At 43.6% G+C, this 21176-nt stretch overlaps 1 long non-coding RNA gene across 1 annotated transcript in view; it reads left to right on the top strand.

The window, feature by feature from the left end:
• Positions 1-21176, top strand: part of F11-AS1 (F11 antisense RNA 1) — a 214961-nt gene that overhangs the window by 189139 nt on the left and 4646 nt on the right. The window contains exon 2 of the long non-coding RNA NR_033900.1: positions 20888-21164. This is a non-coding gene — a long non-coding RNA (F11 antisense RNA 1). The remainder of the gene's footprint in view (positions 1-20887; positions 21165-21176) is intronic.

Raw genomic sequence — 21176 nt, 5'->3', positions numbered from 1 at the left:
GGTTAAAGTTCTACTTTATTTATTCTATTACTGATAGAGTTAGGAGAACACAAAGGCAGGCCAAGAGAGGTGCTGGGCTCCCCACATGTGAGCACCTTCCACGGTGGAACAATCCCACCTCTGGAGCCGACCACGCATGTGGAGTGGGGGTTGGGCACACAGGGAGGCTGCAGTTGCCACAGCCCAATTCAATGTGTCCTTTGATGCAACAACTAAGATACGGATAATGTTTCACTAACAAAAGTGTCAGAATCCTCCTTTTTGACCACCTACAGCCATTATTTGAATCTTTCAATGGTCCAAATTTTACATTATTAAAAATTAGTGAATGTGTTTCCACTCTTACAGAACTAGCCTGAGACCAATTACAAAGTTTGCCTTGTGTCTTTTCCAGCTACAGTTTCCGGTGTCCTTTCCTTCTTCTTTCCTTCTTGCCACAGGTCCTCATGCTGTCTTCTGGCTCCTCAGAGCCATGCCAGCCAAACCTGTCCTCACAGGGTAATAACTGGGTCATGGCTTTGAACCTAGACATAGAATTTATGTCTTTCACAAAGATTAACTCAAAGTGAATCATAGGCCTAATTTTAAAATGCAAACCTGTAAAACTTCCAGAAGAAAACATACAATAATTTATATGACCTTGATTTTGGTGATGAATTTTTGGATACAACATCAAAAATACAATTCATGAAACAAAAAAAAGTAAGTTAGACTGCATTAAAATTAAAAACTCCTACTTTGCACAAGACACTGTTAAGAGATGCTGGTGAGGTTGCAGAGAAAATGGAACGCTTATATACAGCTGGTGGGAATGTAAATTAGTTCAGCCACTGTGGAAAGAAGTTTAGCAATTTCTCAAAAAACTTAAAACAGAACTACCATTCGACTCAGCGATCCCATTCCTGAGTATATACCCAAAGGAATACACAATCATTCTACCATAAAGACACATGCATGCATGTGTTCATTGCAGCACTATTCACAATAGCAAAGACATGGCATCAACCTAGATGCCCATCCATGGTAGACTGGATAAGAAAATATGGCACATATACACCATGGAATAGTATTCAACCATAAAAAGAATAAAATCGTGTCCTTTGCAGCAACATGGATGAAGCTGGAGGCAGTTATCCTAAGCAAACTAACGCAGGAACAGAAAACCAAATACTGCATGTTCTCACTTATAAGTGGGAGCTAAACATTGAGTACACAGGGACACAAAGAAGGGAACATTAGACACCAGGGTCTACTTGAGACTGGGGGGCGGGAGGAGGGGGAGGATCAAAAATCTACCTACGGCACACCATGCTTATTACCTGGGTGATTAAATAATCTGTACACCCAAGCCCTGCAACATGCAATTTACCTGTATAACAAACCTGCACCTGTACCCCTGAAACTAAAATAGAAGTTAAAAAATAAAATCAAATTAGAATTGGAAACAAAAAGACACTGCTGGAGGATGAAAAGACAAGCCAAAGACTGGAAGAAAATTTTGCAGAACACATATCTGATAAAGGGCTTGAATCCAATATATATAAAGAATGTATAAAACTAAATAATAAGAGGACAAACAACCCCATTAAAAAAATGGGCAAAGGTCTGAACAGACACTTCACCAGCAAATGAGCATAAGAAAGATGCTCAACATCATATGTTCTTATGGAAATACACATTTAAAAAGAATGAGATACCACTGTAGACCTATTAAAATGGCTAAATTTTTTTTTTTTTTTTTGAGATGGAGTTTCGCTGTTGTCGCCCAGGCTGGAGTGCAGGCGCGCAATCTCAGCTCACTACAACCTCTGCCTCCTGGGTTCAAGGGATTCTCCTGCCTCAGTCTCCAGAGTAGCTAGGATTACAGGTGCCTACCACCACACGTGGCTACTTTTTGTATTTTTAGTAGAGACGGGGTTTCACCATGTTCGCCAGCCTGGTCTCGAACTCCCGACCTCAGGCGATCCGCCCTCCACAGCCTCCCAAAGTGCTGGGATTACAAGCATGAGCCACCGCGCCTGGCCTAAGTTTTTTTTTTTTTTAAAGCTCATTTTAAAATGTATTCTCTTGGCACTGTTTTGTATGCCTTAGAGTAGATACAAATTTTGTCCAAAGAGACATGGCAGCCCTTCTCCTGAACCACAAAAAGCTACAACTGGTTTTCTTCCTTCATGGATATTTGTTCATTAGCAATCCATCAGAAGAACGAAAAGAGCAGCTGATTTATCTCTAATAGGATACTTTGTACACCTAAAATATGCCAAGCACTCCTCAAAATGTACTTTCTACGACTCGTTTAACCCTCACAGTGACTTAGGTAACTATTGTCATCACCATCCCCGTCTTATGGGAACTGCGTCACGGAATGGGTCAGTAAGTTGCCCAAGATGACCCAGTCAGTAAATGGTAGAGGGAAGATTCCAATTCAGAACGTCAAGCTCCTGGCCCCATGCCTTCACTCCTCCCACAGCGGCTGATTCTACAGCAAGTGGACTGGCAGGAAGCAGTTCCAGGACTGTCTCGGGTGCTTTGTTCCTTTTCTCCACCATGAGAATGTCGCCTCTGCCACTCCTGTCTTGCAGAATGTCTTCCCAACATTCACCTGCTTCCCCGTGCTTCTCAGAGTGTGGCTCCTGAACCAGCAGCAGCAGAGGCGCCTGGGAAATTGTTGGAGACACCAATTCTCCATCCCAAATCTACCCAGTCAGAAACTCCAGGGATGGAGCCCAGTAGTAACAAACCCTCCAGGTGATTCCGATGGAAAAGAACGTCTGACAACCATTGGCACGCCCAAGGACAACTCGCTTCATTGTTCTGAGCCTGGGTTTCTGTTAGGAGAGCGTGTGGAACCAAGTATCTCAACATTTCTTCCATTGTGAGCAGCTGGTTCTGTGGCCAGAGTCAGATACCCACAGGGGCACGTGAAGCCAAAAATGGTGGATACTGTGTGGCACTGCCCAGATCCCCCTCAGAACTGAGGCCAGAATCTCTCCTGCTGTAGTGACTGACAATGGCTTCTAGCTGGGTTTCTCTTCAGGAATGGTCCTCAGCAGATAGGATCAAGCCAAGGTCACGCCTCCTTCCCTTGCCAGGAGTGGGCAATAGGGTAGACCTCCTGTTTTAGTTTGGGACAACTCGCTTGGATCCCTCCAGTTCCAGAGCACCCTTTGGGGTTGGCTGGGGCTCTGTCCCCAAGTCCCTCTCTTGCAGCACAACGTCTTTGCAGGCATTGGTCCCCACTGCATGTCCCCAAATCTCCTGCATGCAAGTCTCCATCTTACAGTGTGTCTGGGGAACCTGACCTGGGGATAAAGTTTAAAATGATTTTTACTATAACTGATACAGTGGGCTGGGATGAGGTCGGGGACAGGATTGGACTAACCTTAAACTGGAATCCATGAAACATAAGCTTTGTGCAAATGATCTTCTATAGCAATGACGAATAACTCAGATTTGGCTACAACAGATTTAAATATTTTAACTCATATTTTGGATATTTGCACAGAACATAGTTAAATTATGTAATGAAGTGTTTCTTTCTCCTCTCATCTCCCCTCTTTCTCTGAACCCTCCCTCTCTTCCCTACCCTCAATAGGCTGACTTTGTTGGAGCAAGGTGCCCTCATCCCTGTCACATTTCACGAAGAATTGAAGCTGTGCTTTATGTTGGGCTGTGACTGCCACTGAGCTCTTTTTTCTTTGCCCCCAGCATTGCACACTGACCTATCGGGGTGGGCTCCTCAGGCCCCGGCTAGACACTGTCCAGGCCAGTCTCAGGGCTGGAACACTGCAGTACTGAAGGCTTGGCTGCAGCAGGAGGTCCACTTAACACTGAAGCCACAAGTACCTCATTCTTAGCCAAGCCCTGCCATAGCTGACTCAGGGAACTTTCTGAATTTGTTTTCCTACAAGTAGTGAATTTCACTGGTTTTAAATTTATTTCCTAAGTGCTCAGGGGCTCCTCAGAGGGCCTCTGTTTCCAGGTAAATGCATGAAGCTGAATCTTCCTTCCAGCCCTCCCCAGCAGCCTGCCTTCCTCTCATTTCTATGGCAGGCTTCCATGTAAAGTTTGTCCAAAAACAGTTTTGGCAAACAAGAAATCCACTTGAGAGAACAGCTATGGTTCCTTGGAGTTTTGTGGGTTTGAGAGATGACAAATGGATGTTTGTATTAGCCTCTCTAGAAACCACTTCCATTTTAATCAGAACCTTGGCTTTCTATAACCTCTTTCCTCGCGCCACCCCTGGCCCCAGAGGCATTTTGAGATGAAGTCTTTCCCGGTCTGGTGAACCTCACTCCACAGCTCTCTGCTCAGCCTTGAGCAGTATCAGTGCCAGAGTGCCAGTCTAGCCTGGCAGGCACAGGTGATTTGAGCACTAGCAAAGCTGGAACACTTCGCCTCTTAAAGAATTTTATATTTGATAATTTAAAAATGCATTGAAGAGGAAAAAGCTAAAACACAGGAAAAACTAAAACTTTATTGGATTTTGTTATTCTTTGTAGGCTGTTGTTAAACGTGTGTGTGTGGGGGGGTGTGTGTGTATGTGTGTAAAATTTAAAAAATCTATTTAATTCCATACAGCATAGAGGCAGGGAGTGGCCAAAGGAGCACCATGAGGGTTTCAGTGCCTCTACAAGTTTGAATGCAGCCCTAGCTACCATCAATGCACTTCATCACACGCTACCTCCATGTCAAAAATAATTTTAACTTGCAGGGCCCAGCTTATTACATCACAAGCATCCACAGTCACGAAGTTTAGTGTACATAGATAGGATGGTATAATATGCCCAAGCCTCTAGAGCTGTGCCGTGCAACACGATAGCCGCTAGACACGGGAGGCCATTCATTCGATAGCCGCTAGACACGGGAGGCCATTTAAATTTAAATTTCATTAAAGCAAATTCAGTTCCTTGGTTGCAGTAGTCGCTTTACAAGTGTTCAACTGCCACATGAGGCTAGTGACGCTGGACAGCACAATTAAATAATATTTCCATAACTGCAGAAAGTTCTACTGGACAATGCCGCTCTAGCAGTAATTAAAGCAATATTGTCTGAGATAAGATAAAATGTTGAGAGTTGGTGCTAATGTCTAGTCTATGGAGTGCCAAATGAATTTCTAGAAGCCTCTAAATCAAAGGCCATATACATTTGCCCAAGAGGTGGTTTCATCTTACGGAATCGCCTAGCTGATAGTTAGCTTCCTACAGGCTGGCTGAGGGTATGTCTAATTTTATACCCCCACTATTCTCTGGAACATGTAAACACCTGCCTCAATACATAAAACAAATAGAATACACAGGAATTCAATGTATGTTGTTTTCCCCCTGGCTCTCAGAGCTATGGACTCTGCAAAATAGCCAAGATCTTATTGTTTTGGTTGCATTAATATCTGATGCTGCAGATTTTTGAATACATTCTTGTATGCAATAATCAGCAACCTTTATTCAGCATTTATAGGGAGCCAAACACTGTGTTAAGTGCAGGGAGTAGGTAGAACAATGAGCTCAGGGTTAGTGGGGACACACACAAGCCTCTGGCCATAATGCAATGTGGCAAGTTCTACACAGAGGCACAGACCAGGCAACAATGCAGCAAGAGGGGCGTCATCCTGAGAAAGCTTGCAACAGCTTCATGGAGGAGGTGACTGATAACTCAGTTAAAAGACACAAGCAGGTGGATATGGTTATTAAGGGGCAGGCAGAAGCAATGACAAATGCTGTGCCCCAGAGATTGAAGCAGTTTGACACTTTTGAGAGACAGAAGGAGATTTAACTTGGCTGGGCGGGGCATAAGAAGCAAGTGAAGTGGGGAGTGAGTGAATGAATGAATCAAAGAATGGTGCACGTCTATTCCAGTAACATCCCACATCCTGGCCAGAGGCCCTTGAGAAGCCCAGCGACCCTTCCGTGGGCAGAGTTGGGAACGACATGATTCTGCTTGCACTACAATTATTTGTGATATTTCTTTCTGTCCTCATTGAACTTTCTTAATAGAGATTACTACTTATCAGGAACAGGAATGCTTTTTCCTTACTGTTTTCCTCTTGGAACCTAGCTCTGTACCCAACCCATGATAGGTATCAAATATGTGTAAAAATAAATTGAAAATGAAAATGCAGGCTAGCAAATAGGGTAATTCAATAAATATTGAAATGCTTTGTTTTCACTTCTGCATTTGACCAAGAACATGGCTGAGACCCACAGGGACTCTGCCTCCAGGAGAGAGACCTGTGTGACTGCAGACCCTGCAGGACCACCGGCAACCCTGGAGCACCAAAGCATTGCATGGGGCCAGGCTGGGGCGGGGCACGCAGTGTTAAATGGGAGAGCTGGAGAAAATTCCACGAGGAAAAACAAATGGAAAAGTATGACCCCTGCAACAACAAAAGCCCCTCCTCTGCGTCGCTGACAAACCTCACGCGAGTTGGACAAGCATTTTTTTAATAGAAAAGAAGCTGGCTTTATTCTAACATGAGCAATATTGAGAGTCTTCTCTAATGTTCTGTTTCTGATGGACCAAAACTGATGTGCTGGGGAGCGGATCCCTGCCGCCCGTGCTCTAGCAGGTGAGATCTGGGTAGGATGTGGAGGTGGTGGCAGTTTTCCAGCCTGGCCACGTGGGAGGCTGGAAGCAAGGGGAGCGTGGAGCAGCTGAAATCGCCTTAGCAGGCTCTTGACGGTAGAGAGTGAATGCCCCCCCATTCTCTATGTTCTGAATAAGAATTTGAATTATTTAGCTCAATATCATCTTCTATTTTGCAGCAAAATCTAGTCAAAGCTAGTTTTCAATTGGATTTCTTTCTTCTTTGTTGGAATGAAAATTCACAGTGTCATTTCATTCTGCTCAGGTCACTGGCTCTGCCAAAAACCAGAGTCTCACTCCGGAAATCAGCCTTTCCTTTCTTCTCCTTCGAGTGTGAATCATGACCTCATCCTTCACAACCTCGGCAGACATTTCTTGTATGTTAGTGATGGAGAACAGCTGAATGGGGCTCAAATGAGACCCAAAATGAGAAAGGAAAGCAGACTAGCGGGTATGACCTAATCTCTAAAACCAAAATAGAGAAATAATTTAGGATACAATTAATTACTGATAGGCAGACTGTCAGAAAAAGGACCTTGATACACACACACCCACACACACATATATATATTATATATATAATATTAATATATATTATATATACACACAAGTGTGTGTATACATGTGTATGTGTCTATGTGTACATGTGTCTATGTGTGTGCTAGACACTCTTCTAGGCATAATCAGTTGCATTATTTGTTTTCAAAATGGCCTTGAGGCATGTATGATTATAATGGCAGTCAGTACAGCGCAGTGCTGGGATCAGCACACTTTTCTGGGAAAGCACCAGGTAGTAAATATTTTAGGCTTTGTGAACCACAGGATCGCCCCTTCGATTACTCAACTCTGTTGTTATAGAGCAAAAGCACCATATGTGATGTGTCAATGAATGGTTATGGCTGTGTTCCAATAAAACTTTATTTACAAAGACAGCAGGCCAGATTTAGTTCGGAAGCCATTATTAGCTGATTCCTCAGGTGGTGGGGAAAGGTGTAGATTCAGGAGCAGATGCTATGGATTTGATTTTCTAGCCTACTTCTTACTCGCTTCTCCTCTAATTTTTAACCTCTATGTGCCTCAGTCTTCTCCTCTGTAAAATAAGAATAAGAATAGCCAAAATTATATGGAAAAAGAGAATTAAGTTGGAGAACTCACATTGCCTAATTTCAAAAGTGTAAGTGCCTATACACTGTTAGTATCACAAAGGGACTTTGTAGTCTATTTCCAGCTAGAGATGGGTGGACTGAGATTCAGCAACGTGAATACAAATCTGGTGAAACCTCTTCTACTGTGGCTCTGGAATCTGAATTATGCCACAGGACAGACCTCCATAAAGGTGTTCAAGTGCACTGATAGGGAAATTCCAAACCATCTGCAAAGCCCTGGACAACACTGTGGCAGGCCTCCCCTGTCATACCCACCGGAACTGGGTCCTGGGTAGCGCTGTGACAGGGCTCCCCTGTCATATACCCACCGGAACTGGTCGTTGCATAGTCAAAAAAGTTCATTAAAAGGGAAACGAGATTACAGTAGCCATAAAGGAAAGAGTAAATAGAAAAATCAATAAAAACATGTGAATTCTTTGAAAAGATTAATAAAATCGACAAACCTTTAGTGACACTTACCAGGAAAAAGAGAGAGAGAACAATCAAATTAATAAAATCCAGAATGGAAGAGAGGACATCAGCATTGACCTTATGGAAATAAAAAAGATTATAATGGAATACTATGAACAATTATAAAACATTATAGTGGAATACTATGAATTGTGCATGCCACAAATTACTCAGATGAAATGGACACATTCCCAGAAAAACCCAAACTACTGACACTGACTGAAGAAGAAATGGATATGCTTGAATTGTGAATTTTAAGACTTCAACAGAGAAAATCCCAGGCCCAGAGGGGTTCACTGTGAATTCTACAAAACATTCAAAGAATGAATACTGATTCTTCAGAAACTCTTCCAAAACATACAACAGAAGAGCACACTTCCCCACTCATGCTGTAAAGCTAGTGTCACCCTAACACTAAAACCAAAGACATAGCAAGAAAAAAAATCACACAGTGATAACCCTTATAGCCTAAAAAAATCCTTGACAAATTATTAGCAACCTTAATTGCATCACATATTAAAAGATCAGACACTGTGACCAAGTGGAATGTATTACGGTGATGGAAGGTCGGTTTAACATCCAAGAGCTTATCAGTGTAATGCATCCTATTCACAGAATACAGCACAAATCATGGCCATCATCTCAATAGATGGAAGAAAGTAATCTACAAAATCTAAAACCTTTTCATGATAAAAATGCTTAACAAACTATACATACGAGGAAACTTCCTCAACTTGATTAAAATTTTAGCAAACTGGACATAGGAGGAAACTTTCACGTCTTGGTTAGAAGCATCTACGAAAAATCCACAACTAACATCATATTTACTGGAGTGAAACTAATGCTTTCTCCCTAATATCAAGAACGAGACAATAATGCCTACTCTAGCCACTTCTATTCAACATCACACTAGATGTTATAGCCAGGGCTATTATAAAAGAAAAAGAAAAAGGGAACAGTTAAAACGATCTCCATTTTCAGATGACATGATCATATATATAAACAAATCCTAAGGAATCCACAGAAAAACCACTACAGCTAACAAACCACTTCAGCATGAGGCAGCATACAAGGTCAATATACAAAAATAATTTTATTTATATACACTATCAATAAATAATACGAAAATGAAAGTTAAGGACAAAATGCATTTTAATAGCATAAAAATAAAATGTCTAGGCATGCATTTAACAAAAGAAGTACAAAATTTATATGCTAAAGATATGAAACAAATTAAAAATCTAAATAAATGGAAAGATATTCTACATTCATGGATCAGGAGACTTAATATTTTTAAGATGGCTACTCTCCACAAATGGATCTTTATCAAAATCTCAGCTGTCTTTTATTGCAGAAGTAGCCTAGCTGATCCAAAAATTCATGTAGAAATGCAAGGGACTCAAAATAGCCAAAATAATATTTAAAAAAAGAATAATTCATTTGGAGGACTCATGTTGCCCAGTTTCAAACTTTAGTGCAAATCTCCAGCAGTCAACATTGTGTGGAGCTGGCATGATGACAGGCATATAGAGCAATGAAATAACATTGACAGTCCAGATACAAACCCTCATATTTATGGTCAATTGAGTTTTGACAAGGGTTCCAGTGCTGGGACAACTGGAATTCACATGGAAAAGATGGATTTGGACTCCCATGTATCACATCACTCACAAAAATTAACTCAAAGTGGGTCATGCAGCTAGATGTAACTGCTAAATCTATAAAACTCCTAGATGAAATCACAGGACTAAATCTTTGTGCCCTTGGATTAGGCAGTGGTTCCTTAGACACAACTTCAAGATTATAATCAACAAAAGAAAAAATAAGATATACTGGACATCATCAAAAATAAATACTTCTGTATTTCACAAAATACCATCAAGAAAGTGAAAAGATAACCCATAGTATGGCATAAAATATTTGCAAATCATGTATCTAACAAGGACTAGTATCCAGAATATGTAAAGAACTCACAACTTTGTAATAAAAAGAAAATACCCCAATTAAAAATGGAGAAAATAAGTAAATAAATATTTCTCCAAAGAAGATGTACTAATGGCTGATAAACACATAAAGATGTTCTCAACATCATTAATCCTTGGGGAAATGCAAATCAAAACCACAATAAGATACCACTTCACACCCACTAAGGTGGGCTTAGAATCAAAAAGACGGAATCATCGATGTTAGCCAGGATGTGGTGACATTGGAGGCTTCAGACATTGCTGGTGGGAATGTAAAATGGTGTAGCTGCTTTCAAAAACATCATTCTTCAAAATATGAAACATAGTGTTCCCATATGACCCAGAAATTCTGCTCCTGGGTACTACACACTCAACAGAAAGATAAACGTGTCTACACAAAAACTCATACATGAATATTTATAGCAGCATTATTCATGATGGCCAAAAAGTGAGAAAACCCACATTTCCATCGATGAATGGGTAAATAAAATGTGTATAATTATACAAGGGCAATTCCTTTTTATTATATGGCAATAAAAAGGAATGAAGTACAGGCTTTAGAACATGGTTCCTCCTTGAAAACAAGGTGAAAGTGAAAGAAACAGGTCACAAAACACCCCATGTTGTATGATTGCATTTATGTAAAATGTTCAGAAGAGGCAAATCTACACATAGGTATGAGGTTTCTTTGGGGGAGTGATGAAGATGATAGAAAATTAGATTAATGATCACACTACTCTGAGAATATACTAAAAATCACCGAATCGTCATTTTAAATGGAAGTTTGGGTATATATGAATTATGTATCAATAAATCTGCTTGTTAAACAGTGCACACTATCAAGATGACTTACCACTGATGATGTTACCTCATCAACTAGCCTGTTTCTCCTCTGTAAATTACCTTTTCACTCCTATCCATGCTCTACTCCCTAAGCAAGGGATAGAGGGTTAAGCTCCACATCCTTGAGAGAGGAGAAATGGTGTAACTTACCCGGAATCCTGTACAGCGGATTTCTCTCTTCTCTCTCATTATTTTGTTCATTCAATCATTTTGTATCAGTATGAACTCATGGATATTTATTTTTTACTTTAAGATGTAATCCAATGCTAGATTATTCATTCTGTCACTCAAGTTATTCCAGTTTTGGTTATTGGGAATTCTTTCAGGTTGGGGCTTATGTAATTATAAGTAAGTTACTTCTTTACAATAATTGTTAAATTGACCTGAACAGATCTGAAAACAAACACAGCCAATTTCAAATGTTTTGATTCAGCTGAATAGAAGAGACCTTTCCTGTGTGCACCAAAAAGTGGCCTTTGAGCATTTTCTGAGTGGCGAGATCAGTGCACGGCAAGAGTAAGGCCATCTTGAAGTGACTGTCGGACCCCTGCTCACCAATTAGTTCCTCAGAAACAATGCCTGTGACATAGACAACCCCTTCAAACAAACAATGCCTGGGGCATAGACGACCCCTATAAACAAACAGTGCCTGGGGCATAGATGACCCCTATAAAGATGCTTATTCAACCTCCCCACTGGTCAGCAGTTTTGCAAGAGGGTCTGGTGCATCAGTCTTATAAAAGCTTGCTATAGAAAGAACGTTTTCTGGGCCAGGTGCGGTGGCTCATGCCTGTAGTCCTAGCACTTTGGGAGGCCGAGGTAGGTGGATCACGAGGTCAAAAGATTGAGACCATCCTGGTCAACATGGTGAAACCCCGTCTCTACTAAAAATACAAGAATTACCTGGGTGTGGTGGTGGGCGCCTATAGCCTCAGCTACTCGGGAGGCTGGTGCAAATCACTTGAACCCGGGAGGCGGAGGTTGCAGTGAGCTGAGATCGCGTCACTGCAGTCTAGCCTGGTGACAGAGCGAGACTCCATATCAAAAAAGAAAGAAAAGAAAGATAGGAAGAAAGAAAGAAAGAAAGATGAAAGAAAGAAAGAAAGAAAGAAAGAAAGAAAGAAAGAAAGAAAGAAAGAAAGAAAGAAAGAAAGAAAGAAAGAAAGAAAGAAAGAAAAGAAAGAAAGAAAAAGCAAGCAAGCTTTCTGGAGGGCAGCTGTGGGATAAGTCCCTATTCAACGCTCCTTTCTGAGAGTCTGGATTTGTCAGCCTCTTTCCTCGGCCTCTCTGCACCCCCAGGCTTTGGGGGTGGGCTTGCATGGGTCTGCCCACTGGAACACAGGGTGTTTCCTGGTATGTGTGGGGAGTGCTGGCAGTGAATCTGAACATCAGTTAAGAGTCTCAACTCAATTTAGTTACTCATAAAACTAAGTCTAACGTGCAGATAAGAGATATCAATGCCCGCAGATGCAATTGTCTGCTTTTTCCACTCATTTTGTTAATGCCCAGGCAGAGACTTCCATGCCTTCAGACACTCCTGCCTGCACCCTATACTCCCCTCTCTACAGGCCATGAAAATAGGCAGTTACAGGCCTGGAAATCAATCGTAATGATTACTGTTGGATAAATTGGATAATGAGTAGGACAATGAATTTCACTGGTTTGTTTCTGAGAGTTTTGAGTATTTTTGATATTTGCATTTTTGAATCCTGCCTGTGTAGCAACCGGTATGCTTAGGGTGACTTTAAAAGGGAGCTCTTGAACTGAAATTCATTCCAAAATAATACTTTTTTGTAAATGTTTGTTCTGTATTTTCTAATAGAGACCATACCCTCTTCCTTCAATAAACAGTTTAATGGCTTATTTGTGAATAAAAATATGAGTTGCTAAGGGCTCATTTTCCCCAAAAGTATGTGGCACCCACAGAAATACCTGCCCAGGAGGCACCTCTTAGCAGAGGGGAGTCATCTGAGCTCACTTTCTGAAGGGGTCTGTTTTGTTGTTTTTTATATAGATATGTTCCATGGGAGGTGGTTTTCGTTTGATGGTGTAATGGCCACACTGAGGAGCCACTGGAAGCCCATTCCTGCGATGCCCAGCGGGGCTGGGGTGGCCCAGATCTCCACGCCCAGGTGGAGACGCTGTAACTTTTCAGGGGCTCTGCACACCTGGGCCTCCCACATGATCCACTTACCTCCAGTTAGTGGGGCTGACTCCTAACTTTGCTATAGGGTGCTCAGGCTGAGACTGGATTCCAGTATCTTTTGGAAACTCGGGGGCTCCAAGGTGAAGACAGGGCAAAAGTGGGACTGAGAAGGGAGTGCGTGTAAGCTTCAGGCCGGGCCCAGCCCTCCGGAGGCTGCGGTTCGAGGTTCCGCTCGCGGGGGCCCGGCGCTCTCTGGTGGGCGCAGGTGGACGCCGGGGCGACTTGGCGCCGCTGGGCTCCGTTCCCCAGGCTTTCTGCTCACCCGTTTCCCCGCTCTCTTTCCAAGTCCCTAACCAGCTGACCCGTTTATGAGACACTGTCACCGAGTCAGGGCTGATTCAAATGCTGACCGAAGTTTGTCCCTAGGAGGCTTCCTGTGTCACAGTCACAAAATGGTACAAGCTTCAGCTGCACAGAACCTGGGGGTGCCCCGCGGGCCCCGCGAGGAGCGGGCTTAGGTTTGGCTGGCAGCGAACACCGGCCCGGGAGGCCTCCGCGGGGAGCTGGGGTCTTGGAGTGAGCGTGACCATCGCCGCTTCCCGATGTGTGTGTGCCTTCCGTGTGTGTGTGTGTGTTTCCTGTGTCTTTCATGTGTGTGTTCTGTGTGTATTTCATGTGTGTGTTTTGTGTGCGTGTTCCATGTGTATGTGTGTGTGCATCTGTGTTTTATGTATTTTGTGCGTTGCGTGCGTGTTTCATGTATCTCTGTGTGTTTTATGTGTGTAGTTCATGTGTGTGTTTGCGTGTTTCATATGTATGTGCGTTTCATGTGTGTATTTTGTGTGCTGTGTGCTTGTTTCATGTGTGTTTTGTGTGTATTTTATGTGTTGTGTGCATGTTTTTTGTGTGTGTTTTGTGTGTTTCATGTGTGTGAATGTGTTTTATGTGTGTTTCGTGTGTGAATGTGTGTTTTATATGTGCATGTGTCGTGTGTGTGTTGTGATGTGATGTGGGGGGGTGGGTAGACTATTTTTATTATCACTAAGCCTTCAGCATTCAAATGTTTATGTTTGTTTGTTTTAAAAATACAACACAGCCTTAACAATACATTGCGGGATCAAGGTTGGGGATACTGTTCCCCAGTTCATCAGGGAAGAGGTGAAGGAGCTGAGTGAGCAGGGGTAGGGGTGTGGGGAGGGCAGCAACAGCGCAGAGGAAGCCGCCGAGGGCCGAAGCAGCCCTAAGCCGGACCCCAGCAGAACACAGCGCGCGTGGGCACCGTGGACCTGGCCCCGGGGCTCGGGCTGGGCGGTCAGCGCAGGAGCAAGGGCCCAGCGCCGTCCTGGAGCATCTGGTGGACAGGCGAACCTGCTGTCCGGGGACCAGATATTTACAAGTGTTATATTTGAAAAGGAAAGCATATTTGAATGGAAGCCGTTTATTTGATTTAAAGTTCCCAGATATTATATATACATAGGATTTGTTTAAACTTACCATAAATTAAGTGCGCTCTGCCCATCTGCTGTGAGTTTAAAATGGAACAAAGAGAGGTATAAAAGTGCCATCTAGTGGGGAAATGGAGAATTGGGTTCAAAATATTTACCAGCAGGTTTGTCTTGTCTTTCTTTTCCACTTGTAAAACACGTGGATTATGTTATAAAGGGAATAATAATAATATCCTACTTGCACAGTGCTGGTGAGAAGGAAAGCCCACTGCATGATGCAGAGCACATAGCAAGATCCCAAAAGACGTGAATATGGCGATAGTCTTATCTGTATTCTCTTTCCTGTTCTTGTTCATCAAGATGATATTATTATTATTAACTATAGTAATCACTGCTTGTTGGACCCACTGGATTTTATGTCTATGTTATTCATTTAACAAGCTGTTCACTTAACTCCAGAATGTTGATTTTAACTCTTTTCGGATAGAATTAAATGATAATGACATGAGTGACGTTCTTATATGATCATGCCCTCTGTGGGGCTGTTAACTAGGCTGCTCAAGAAACTCCTAATTATGTCCACAGCCACTACTCCTAGACGCTGTGCTGGCAGCTGCTGGGGTTCAGAGGAAGCAGGAAGTAGAAGCACAGGTCCTCACTCCAAGGATGGCAGCCTGCCATTGCTGTCAGCAGTGAGCACAGACCGACAGCAATACAATGAAAAGTGCCTTTAAGTGATAACTGTGGCATCTCAGAAACATGTTTCTTTCTTATATGTTAGTGGCAGCAAAGAGAAACACAGGCCTGACAGAGGAACTGCTATTCCATGAACTCTACCATCCAACTTCCCTTCTCATTTAAATTGGCCCCTGAAGGACTGAGGCACAGGAGACCTACATTTCCTGGGCTCAGCGTCCACCCTCACAGGCCGTGTGAGCGGGGAGAGGTCACAGCCCCGCCTGGAGCTTCATTTCTATGGAATGATTGCTGAAGTCTCTTTCACCTCTAACAGCTTATGGGTCCCCAATAATTAATGTGCCAAATAACATCTTCCATTGGTCTCGTTACTTCCTCACCATTAGCAATTTGGTCAATGCAAAAAAACCGAAGGAGCAGATTTCACTGGATACCAGAGAAACTTTGAACTTATGTTATTCTGATCTTCAAGGGTAGCAGAGAGATCTCTCTTCACATGAGGTGTTTTTTTAATTTTTATTTTGTTGGTTGTTGTTGTTTTGAGATGGGGTCTCAATATGTTGCCTAGGCTGGTCTCAAACTCCTGGCCCCAGCCATCCTCCTGCTTCAGCCTGTTGAGTAGCTGGGACTACAGTCATGCACCTGGCAACATGAGTTTTAATACCCCGAGAAGGAGGAGGGAGAGGCCTGGAACCTCAGATACAAATGCATAATACTCAGAATTCAGCTAAATTAGAATGAGCAAACTGAGAATCTAAGCCTTTAATTTAGCCATATGCTGAAACAACACCGGAAGCCGACCATCCTGGCTAACACGGTGAAACCCCGTTTCTACTAAAAATACAAAAAAATAATTAGCTGGGCATGGTGGAGTGCACCTGTAATCCTAGCTACCTGAGAAGCTGAGGCAGGAGAATCGCTTGAACCCGGGAGGTGGAAGTTGCAGTGAGCCTAGATTGTGCCACCGCACTCCAGCCTGGGTGACAGAGTGAGACTCTGTCTCAAAAAAAAAATTATCTGTATACTATTTTTACAGACACCAGCACAGCCATAAACATGATGATAAATCCATCTACTGATTGTCAGTTAAAATGTTAAAGGCTGCCCATCACATCACAAATTACTCATTTATAAAACGGAATCTGAATAAAGAAAAACTAACTTTCAAATCTGAAAAATAGACCTCTCTTGATTTTTCTTGCCAAATCACAAACACGATGAAATATATATATATATATATAGCTGAAAAATTATTTTTAATGCCTTTATTTTTTCTATTTATTTATTTTATTTTTATTTTAGATTCTGGGCGTGCGCATGCAGGTTCATTGCATTGTGTAACACTGAGGTTTGACCTTCTGCTGATCCCACTGCCCAGGCAGAGAACATAACACGCAATAGGTAGCTTTTCAGCCTTTGGCCCCTCCCTTCCTCTTCCCTTTTAGAATCCCCAGTGCTGGGCTGGAAGCTGCTGGAGATGAGACGACGTTCCCGTCTTGATGTCCATGAGTACCCAACGTTCAGCTCCCACTTAGAAGTGAGAACATGCGGCATTTCGTTTTCTGTTTCTGCGAAACAGCTTATTTATTTATTTATTTATTTATTTATTTATTTATTTATTTTTGAGACAGAATCTCACTCTGTTGCCAGGCTGGAGTGCAGTGGTGCGATCTCGGCTCACTGCTACCTCTGCCTCCTGGGTTCAAGCGATTCTCCTGTCTCAGCCTCCCAAGTAGCTGCGACTACAGGCACACACCACCACGCCCCGCTAATTTTTTGTATTTTAGTAGAGACGGGGTTTCACCATATTGGCCAGGATGGTCTTGATCTCTTGACCTCATGATCCACCCGTCTCGGCCTCCCAAAGTGCTGAGATTACAGGCGTGAGCCACCATGCCCAGCCCACAGTTTTATTTTTAATGAAGCGATTACCGGAGAAATACATTCAGATTCACCCAAATCAAATATTAATTTGCTCAAGTATATAAATATTTCTGAGAAAGTCACTTTTTGTCTTGATTCTTTCTTTACTGCTTTCTCGTTCTAATAGTGAAGATAATTATTTCCGTTGGTGGCAGCAGAAACTTATCGAAAAACCCTCTAAACCGCAAAACCCATACTTCTGTGTTGTGTTTGATAGTGTTTTCCGTGGGATGACAAAGGTTTTCTAGTCTGTATTGTTTGTAAAGGTGCCTTCCCAACCAAGCTCATGGGAGTCATTCTGACTGCCGTTTTGACAGTGTCTGAGCATGGAAGGAACCCACGCAGTCACCACAGCCTGTGAAAATCTCTACCTGTGCACAGCATTTGAAAGTTACCGGTGGTTACAAAGCGTGCTCATGTTTCCTGGGGAGTGCTGGGTGCAGCAGAAAAGCTGCATCCGTACATATAAGATACATTTTGACACCTCTCTGGGTAGATGAGGTAAGACAAACACATACACGAACAAGTCTCTCCATCAGTAGGTCCACCATACACTGTTACATTTGTAAGACAGTTGCCGGATACCCCAAGGCAAAAGAGAGGGAACTAGTTTGTTGAGCACTATGTGTGCCCGTTACTGTGGGAGGCATTTTGAATATAGTCTTTTCTCTGAAAGTTAGAATTAAATGGAAAATGACAGTAAGCTATGTACTGTGTGCCGCATATAGTACATACCGTATACAGCAGTTTGGGTTCTTAACCAATATTACTAGTTTACTTACAAGAAAGGGATAAGAAATGTGGGAGAGGCCCACGTGGAGAAGGAGGCAGCCGAGGAACGAGGAAGAGGCAAGGCAGGGTCCTTCCTAAGGCCTCGAAGGGAGCCGAGTTCTGCCAACACCGAGATTCCAGCATTACAGCCTCCAGAGCCACGGGGAGAAATCTGGGCTATTCAGCCACCCTGGTGGGTTGTGGTAATTTGTTACAGAATCCAGAGGAAAGTAACACAGCATCTGAAGATGAGGAAACCCAGGGACCAGACAGGCAGTGAAGCTGGAGTGCGTAAGCATTACAGGTATCAGAAATGGTCGTTTTCATTTTCTTTCTTTTTTTTTTTTTTTTTGAGACGGAGTCTTGCTCTGTCGCCCAGGCTCTGACTCCCGGGTTCACACCATTCTCCTGCCTCAGCCTCCCGAGTAGCTGGGACTACAGGCACCCGCCACCACGCCTGGCTAATTTTTTGTATTTTTAGTAGAGATGGGGTTTCACCATGTTAGCCAGGGTGGTCTCGATCTCCTGACCTTGTGATCCGCCCGCCTCAGCCTCCCAAAGTGCTGGGATTACAGGCGTGAGCCACCGTGCCCGGCCTGTTTTCATTTTCATTCTCTCTCTCTCTTTCTCTCAAACACACACACACACACACACACACGGACACACACAGACACACACACACACACGGACATTCCTCATTGAAGAATTGCTCTAAACAGTTATTTTTAGTTTGTGGGATTGCCTTGGAAAAGGAAGAAATGTTCTCCTGAAAGAAGCTTGGCCTGCTGTGGTTAATGAACACGCGTGCATACAACAGGCGGGAAGCAGGCGGGAGAGTTGGGGTGGGGCTCACAGGGCGCACTGGGAAGCCGTGATGCTGTGGCCACCACCTCTGCCTGGACAAAGGGAAGCCCTCCCAGGTGACAGGTGGCCTCACAGACATCTTGTGGAAAGGACATTCAAAGAGAGGATTGCCCTGACCACATGGGGCCGGCAGAGCGTCCGTGCAGTCGGGAAATTCCCTACACCTGAGCTCTGGGATGCTGCGGGCTGGGATGTTGAAAATCCTCTCACACGAGCAAAGGGAAAGATGCATTCTATTTTTTCCTTTTTTTTTTTTTTTTTTTTTTTTTGAGATGGAGTCTCACTCTGTTGCCCAGGCTGGAGTGCAGTGGCCCAGGCTGGAGTGCAGTGGCACGATCTCGGCTCACTGCAACCTCGGCCTCCCGGGTTCAAGCGATTCCCGTGCTCAGCCTCTTGAGCAGCTGGGACTACAGGTGCCACCACCACGCCTGGTTAATTTTGTGTGTTTTAGTAGAGACGGCGTTTCACTATGTTGGCCAGGATGGTCTCGATCTCCTGACCTCGTGATCCGCCCGCCTCGGCTTCCCAAAGTGCTGGGATTACAGGCGTGAACCACCGCACCCGGCCTGGGAAAGACCCATTCTGAGTGAGACCTGTGAAGGGAGCGGAAAATCACAGAACAAAGCGAGGATGAAGGGAGAAGTGGACCCGAACAGGCGAGATGGAGACATGCCCCTTAGCAAATGGGGAACGTTTCCTCTGATGCTTTCATGAGGCAGGACCACAGGTAAGGCCATAAATGAGTCATGTATAATGTAAATGTATTATTTCTGAAGGCTTTCTTAAATATATAATTCTCAGTCCAAAGTTTAGTTTCCCTCTTTAGAGTGTAGGGCAGTGGCCAGCCACTGGTGCCCCGGGTGCCACAGGTGAGAACCGCTGCGTCCTTCACAAGCGTGGCTTCGTTGCCGGCTGTCCAAGAGCACCGCTCATGTCAGAAAGTGAGGCAGCTCTGGAGCGGGTCACAGACAGACTTTCTCTGAGGCTTTAGGATCAAAACTATTCAAGAACATTTCCAACTTTTAAAATTGGAAAACACAAAACTGTGTCCCATAGAACACTATGGTAAAATGCATGCCTAATAAAAGTCAATTACATTTCATTGACTCAGGGTTGTGATCAATAACCCGAGTCCTGGCACACAGGACGTTCCACTGCAGGTGGTAGGAAATGCATGGCTTAAAATGAAAGGGGCCATTGCTGTGGAAGAGGGAAGCCCAGAGTTGGTGCAGACCTCAGCCCCTCTACCTGGGCATCAGTGACCTCCGGCAGCTTCTCATGATAAGTGCCACCACTTCCAGGGCCAACACTTCCTCATTCACATGGAAGGGAAAGAGAAAGCATTTATTCCGACACAACATCCAAATTCTCAACCTTTGCTCAGGTTGCTGACTCTGAGCCAGTCACTCTGGTGGGGTGAAGGCGTGTGCCCACTGCCTTGGCCTGCACTGCCAGGAACTGATTCCCAGGGCAACGAGGATGCGATTCCATCAGGGAATGTGTAGGAATCAGGATCCACCCCTGGAACTGGAGATGAGGCCACTTGTACCCCAAATTTATGTCCATAACACACAGGGAGAAGGCTGGACAGCCAGTATGTCTGCCACACTGAGCCACTACCAAGCTTGAACAACATAAGCTCTGGAACGTTTGCTTCGTCCTTTGGCAAGAACTCTTACCATGTTTACATGACTGCAAGGAGCATACTCTATGTTTGTCTACGTCATAACCACCAAATTAGCATTTAAGTAAACAATGAAGCGGTGAACAATTTGGTGATCTTATACACCACATTAACATCACGTCATTTATATTAATTTGTCATAGTAAGAGAACTGCAAAATAATCTACAGTGAGCTACCTTTTTCCACCTGTCAGATTGTCAAAAATTCCTAATTGTGGTGTTATGGTAGCTGGAACGTGGCCCTCTCTTACATTGCTGGTGGGAGAAAAAATGGCTACAGATTTTTGAAGAGAAATTTGGCAATATTCAAAATTACAAATGCATCTGCTGTTTTCGTTTTGTTTTGTCTTCAGCAATTCTACATCTGGACTTTATCCTACAAATGTTCCTGCGTGTGTATGAAAGAGGGAAAGATTGAAAACAACCCAAGTGTCCGTCCACGGGGACTCTGGTTAAATGAAGTGTGGAATCCCTGCAGTGAACACCAGCCTTCCATAATGGACAGAGGCAGCCCTTCTCTACGCATCAGAAATAACCCAAGATAGAGGAAGCTCTCTCGGTACCCATCAGAAATATCCCCAGACAGAGAGAGCCCTCTGCGTGTCAATCAGAAGTGTGCCCAGACAGAACGTAAGTGAGAAA

The sequence above is a fragment of the Homo sapiens genome, chromosome 4, assembly GCF_000001405.40.
Source record: "Homo sapiens chromosome 4, GRCh38.p14 Primary Assembly".
Classification (NCBI taxonomy): Eukaryota; Metazoa; Chordata; class Mammalia; order Primates; family Hominidae; genus Homo; species Homo sapiens.
This window is presented reverse-complemented; position numbering and strand designations above follow the sequence as displayed.